Source organism: Homo sapiens, chromosome 15, assembly GCF_000001405.40.
Source record: "Homo sapiens chromosome 15, GRCh38.p14 Primary Assembly".
Lineage (NCBI taxonomy): Eukaryota > Metazoa > Chordata > Mammalia > Primates > Hominidae > Homo > Homo sapiens.
In genome coordinates this window covers 58,107,206-58,113,354 of record NC_000015.10, presented here as the reverse complement: position 1 = coordinate 58,113,354, position 6,149 = coordinate 58,107,206, and the positions used below count along the sequence as shown (strand labels likewise).

At 42.8% G+C, this 6,149-nt stretch overlaps 3 annotated features.

The window, feature by feature from the left end:
- Positions 1,575-2,774: an enhancer, noted in NCBI's record as "P300/CBP strongly-dependent group 1 enhancer chr15:58402780-58403979 (GRCh37/hg19 assembly coordinates)". NCBI's record gives its function as "activates an origin of replication core promoter dependent on BRD2, BRD4, P300/CBP, MED14 and CDK7 cofactors, with strong dependence on P300/CBP, by STARR-seq in HCT116 cells {active_cell/tissue: HCT116}" and the evidence as "EXISTENCE:reporter gene assay evidence [ECO:0000049][PMID:35650434]".
- Positions 1,575-2,777: a biological region, named in NCBI's record as "P300/CBP strongly-dependent group 1 enhancer GRCh37_chr15:58402780-58403979".
- Positions 2,558-2,777: a silencer, noted in NCBI's record as "fragment chr15:58402777-58402996 (GRCh37/hg19 assembly coordinates)". NCBI's record gives its function as "represses an EF-1alpha promoter that drives an FKBP-Casp9 reporter gene in an ReSE screen in K562 erythroleukemia cells {active_cell/tissue: K562}" and the evidence as "EXISTENCE:reporter gene assay evidence [ECO:0000049][PMID:32094911]".

The window sequence follows — 6,149 nt, the reverse complement described above, 5'->3', positions numbered from 1 at the left end:
ATGATGGCCCGCTGGTCCCACTTTCTCTCTCAAAGTGTCTTTTCTCATTTCTTTAATTCTGCCGGACTTCGTCACCCCCACGACCTGGTGTTGGGTCCAATCACCCCAACAGTTCTAGAGCTCATACTTTTCTCCAGAATGTTCTATTTTTTTGCATAAAATTTAGAGTGACCCTTTCCTTAAGCTGTCTACATATTGTAGGGGTACCTTTTTATAGACTCCTAAAATAATGACATAGACCTCGTTGTCCATTATCAAGTTAGACCAGATATCTGGAATTTCCTGGGACAGCCCTGGTTGTATCTTTTCACATTATGCTGTCCTGCACTTTGTTTATTTATTTTACTTCTGTTGTTTGTTGTTATTTTGGCCCCAATTCTGAGTCAATTAACTATATTTTTCCATCTTAACATCCCTCTGGCTGAAGACCAACTTACCAGTCTTCCTAGGAACTGAACTGATCCTGGGGTTGAACCTCAGGTAGCAGTCAGTTATTATATTGATTAGAGGAATTGGCGGGTACAGATTGGGGGCATCATCCTCACGCCCACCTCTGTGGCATCCATGATGATCCATTTCCAGTCCCTTCCCTGGCTCTACTCAATTCCTTGCTGGGGGAACTCTACCCCAAGCTCTGTTCTTGGCCTCTCTCTTGCTCATTCTCTCACGTTTCTTTTCAAGCCTGAGCTCTAGCCTCTGGTTTGCCTCACACAAGTGTTCTCCTTGGGGGTTCTAGGTCCTGAGATGAACTGAAGACCTCGAATGGTAGCCTCTGTATCACAGGCTGTACCCCACATTTTTCCCGGCAAACTTTCTTGTCTTCTTACCTTCTCCATCTCTTGTTGACATAACCTATTCTCTTGGTCTCCCAGGTTTGAAATCTTGGAGTCAGCTTTAATGTAGCCCTGTCCTTAGACTGCAAATTTAGCCCTCTACCATAATACCTCTTAGATTTACACTGTCTTTTCCTGTCTTACTGATACAGCCCTAAACCTTTTTATTACATGTGTTAAGTATGAAAATAACCTGTCAACTCCAGGGTTTATTAACCTGGGAACTAAACACCCTCTATAAGGTCCACAGATGAGCTTTAGTGGGACTATAAAACCCCTGAAAATATTTTTTAAATTCTTGTGTGTTTGTGTACATACACGTATTTCTTGTGTCAAATAATACTTTCCATCAGCCTCTTAAAGGGGCTTGTATCAGTTTCCTAGTACCACCGTAACAATCACTAAAAATTTAACGGCTTAAAACAACATAAGTTTTTTCTCCTACAGTTCTGGAGGACAGAAGTCTAAAATCAAAGCTTTGGGAGGGCTTCACTCCTTCTGGAGGCTTCCGTTTCTTTGCCTTTCCCAGCTTCCGGATACCACCAGCATTTGTCGGCCTGTGGTCACCTCCTTGCACTAGTCCAGCCCTCGCTTATGTCGTTACATTGCCTACTCACTCTGACCTCCTGTCTCTCTCTGATAAAGACCCTTGTGATTACATTGGCCCCACTCAGGTAATCCAGGATAGTCTCCCCATCTTGAGATCCCTAACATTTGCAAAGTCCCCTTTGCCACATACCATAACACTAATGGGTTCCAGGAATTAGAATGTGAATGTCTTTGGGAGGCCATTATTCAATCTACCTCAGCAGTCAGTGCCCCAAATATGTTGCGAGCCACTGGCTTAACTGGTTTCTTTAACAATCCAGAAAATTATTTCTCTAATGTCACTCTTATCCCGGCATTCTCCTGCTACATTTACAATGTCTTCTCTTACCTATCAGATCAATCCACTCTCTGCACCAAGCATTAAGGGCCATCAGCCAATGAGACCCACTTTATCTCTCCAATGTCATCCCCAACATCCCCCAGCTGGGACATTCTAAGTCATTCCCCTGAAAATGCATTGTCACTCTTAACTCTACACCTGTTCACACTGTTGCCCTGCCAAGAATGCTCTCTTATCTCACTCCTCTCCACCAGTGTAATTTCCTCCCTTTTATCAAAGACTTTCTTCTGCGTAATTTATCATTCATAATGTTTTCCTTTATGAAGTCTTAGAGTTGTTACTGACCGGTACTATAATCACTTATTATTTTGAATCATCCTCTTGCTGGGGATGAGTCAATATTCTGAGGAAAAAAGCTTCTTATACATTCCTTGGAACACCTAAAGGATCTTATGAATGGATAATTCCTTTTCGTCTGTTTCATCTTTTCTCAGAAAACAATTATCTACCTCAAAACACATTGTGTCCTTCATTCTGGCCCTTCTTCCACCATCTGATAATAGCTGTTCTGAAATATGGTCCACCATGTGACCTGCACAAAGAAAAAAACGTTCAATGGGACAAAAATTTTTTAAAGTATTCAACTAAAAATATTAACTTTATTTCAACTCTTGATATTTAAAAGCCTGAAAGATATTTTGCAGGTATTTTCTCTCATAAAAGACTGAAAATGGCATAACTTAGAAGGCTTTAGAAAGTGAGATTAGGACTGCGTGTGGTGGCTCACAAGTGTAATCCCAGCACTTTGGGAGTCCAAGATAGGTGGATTGCTTGAGCTCAGGAGTTCCAGACCAACCTGGGCAACATGGCGAAACCCTGTTCTCTGCCAAAAATACAAAAATTAGCCAGGCATGGTGGTATGCACCTATGGTCCCAGCTACTTGGGAGGCTGAGGTGGGAGGATTGCTGGAGCCTGGGAAGTTGAGGCTGAAGTGAGTGTGATTGTGCCACTGCACTGCAGGCTCAGCAATAAAGCGAGATCCCGTCTCAATAAGTAAGTAAGTAAGTAAATAAATAAATAAATAAATAAATAAATAAATAAAGTGAGATTATTTAGCCTATGGTACAGATGGAAAGTGCTGTTTATTAATAGTGAGCTGGAAATACACTCCATCTGTCTTTTCCGCTTCCCATCAATTGGGGATGGGCTTGGCAAACATGCCTCAACAACTTCTCATGAGTTTCTCTTTAGAATCCTGGGGAAAGTCTGTGATTAATAATAGGATCCTTCTACCCTCACCTTCTCCATTTGCTTCTCCCTTTGGCCCCAATTGCAAATTGTCTTATTGTCTCTCTTCTGAGAACCGAATTTCTTTTGTGACTCTATTTTCAATGGTTCATTCTTTTATATCTCCTTTCCTACCTGCATCTCTGGGACAAGAGAAAGAGAGCAACTTACCTGAGTCCTCACTGTTTGCTCAACTCTCATTCCTTTGAATTCCAAACTCTTTGGCCACATTGTCCTTCACCTTTTCTAATTTCTGTCATGCTGTGGTCACAGTCCTTATATGAATGTCCCAAGAGCACCTCAACTCATTCATATAGGAGGTCACCCTCCTTCCTGTAAAGCCTTTTCTTCCTCCTGTATCCCCATCTCCCTAAATGGCATCACCATGACCCAGTCATTTCATCCAGACACATCTTTAAACTCTTCTCTCTCCTGCAACCCTCGTTTGCAATCCATTAACATGTTCTCTCAATCCTCCATTATTCTTCTAGAATGTTTCTCTTCTCTTCAGCCCCACTGCCACAGATATAATCCGGGCTCTCGGACTGTCTTGCATGATTTAGTACAAAGTTTCCTAATGAATCCTCTGGACTTGTTCTGCTCCAGCCTGTCCTCCACACTGTTGGAAGACTGACTCACCAAAGTGCAGACTGGATCATAGAAGTCTTCTGTTGTCATCCTCCCTGCCCACTCCCCTCAACTCAGTTGTGAGTTTGTGTCTCAGTTGAGAGATTAGGTCAAGTAGGACAGAGTGGAGTCTATGGGTGACTTTTCTTGGGAACCTTTCCCAATCCTTTCCAAGTAGAATACACCACTTCCTCCATTGTACCTCCTCCCACACGTACACTGTATATTCTCCTACCATAGCACTCACAATACTACAACACTCTATTTGTTCACATGGCTGTCTCTGCCTACTAGAAGAAAACCTCTTGAAAGCAAGGACTACATAGAAAATAGTGTCTATGCCCTGTCCTACATCCCCATGCTGACTTCTGAGCTTTTCTGCAACTGCAGATGATAGTTACAGAGCATGCAGATGATAGTTACAGAGATAGTTACACCTTCCTAGCTTAAGTGTGGGTCCACCTGCTTTGCTGGTTGAGGGCTTTATCCAATGCCATGGGAACTTGTTCTGCACAGCTGCAGAGCAACTCAGAAGTGCCAAGAATGTATTGCTTCCAGGACAAATCTCAACCAATGAGAGATAGAAATCTGTGGGAAAATACTGCAGCTTCTTGGCCCTTGTTAAGACCATTCTGAGGCATGATTTCTTAGAGGATAACCAGAGGAACTGAGCCCCAGTTGTCCACAACAACACACTCATTAATGCATCCTTTGCTAGCTTTTATCCCTTCCCTCTCTTGATTTCCCCACTCCTCCTCCTGTGCTTCCTGGGAGCACCTCCTGAATAAACTAACTACACCCTAACACTTGTCTCAATATCTAAGTTAGTGGAGATTCCAAACTAAGACAGACAATTTCTTATTCATCTTTTGGTACATTTTAAATGCTTAATAATAGTTGATCTATAGACAAAGGAATACAGTAATGAGGGGTGTAATGATTCCAGAAGCCAGATGGCAAGTTGTCTTAGAGTCAGGGCTGATGAGCTGGGATGGAACAGTGGGAAGTCAACAGAACTTTCCAAAATTTAACAAGTAGTCAGAAAGAGGCTAGGGACAGAGACTTTACAGAAGACAGTTCGGGCAAAAATCTGAAAAATGAACCAATAGACAAATTAGTTGGATAGTTGAAGATTAGTATGAACCACAGGGTTCTATTTAGACTGGAAGGGGTGGGGATCACTGTTGGAATGATTTCTTTGAGCAACAAGGCAGAGCAGGGCACACTGTGAGACAAGGTCTCTTGTTTATAACTGATGCTACATGCATTCCACAGCTTACAACCTCAACCTTCATGAATTGCTCCACTCATCTTTCTAGGCTCATATCTCATCATTTCTCCTAAGAACCATGCTCTCAGTCCCTGTACATCTATAGTTAAACATATGGTATCTAACTATGTCCTATTATCTCAAGCTTCCACTCTCTTGCCCATGTGATTTCCTTGGCTTAGAAGAGACTTCCCCAACTCAATCAACCTAGCTAACTTACAATTGTCCTTCAAAGCTCAGCTCTAATATTATCTCTTCCAGGAAGTTTTTCGTGTTCTCTTCCCCACTATCTCACAAAACTAGGCAACGCTCTTCTTGCACACATAGTACCTGTGTACAGAGCCGAGTGCACCCTGATTGTGGTCTGCTTCTCTGTCTCCTTCACTAAACTGTTCTCTTTCTTGGGAACTTCACACAAAAATCTAACACATTTGGAATGTTTAACACAGAGGATTCTGGATAAATGGCAGTAGCAGTGGCAGGATAGCTTTTGTCTTCCTAAATCACCACATAAAAATAGAGAGTGGGCCAGGCGTGTTGGCTCATGCCTGTAATCCCAGCACTTTGGGAGGCCAAGGTGGGTGGATCACTTGAGGTCAGGAGTTCAAGACCAGCCTGACCAACATGGTGAAACCTTGTCTCTACTAAAAATACAAAAATTAGCTAGGTGGGATGGTGCATGCCTATAATCCCAGATATTTGGGAGGCTGAGGCAGGAGAATTCCTTGAACTGGGAGGCAGAGGTTGCAGTGAGTCGAGATTGTACCACTGCACTCCAGCTTGGGCAGCAGAGTGAGACTCTGTCTCAAACAAACAAACAAACAAACAAACACAGAGTGCCTAGCCAGCAAAACCAAAAACTCATGATCAACAGTTATAACAAAACTGAGTGACAACATCTCCCCCCACCCCCAAAATATAAACAGGTGGAATAAGCCACTAACTGCTACAAAGCTTGAGTCTTATGTTCTTCTGTCAGGGAGGAAGCAGAAAGAAGCAAGAAGGCATCAAAACTTGAAAAGAGAAAAACCCTGAATCAGTCAACAGATATCCAACAGAAAACATGGGAGAAGAGGGATATGAAGCCAGCAGCTAACACTGGGAAAGTTCAGATCATCTCTAATAATAGGTGAGTGCAAGGGGCAAATGGTGAGGGCCTAGGGGACAGGGGAAGTCCAGCCCCTCATAAACTCTCCAAACTGACCCATCAGGGCTCCCTTCCCATTTAAGTTCTGACTCCAG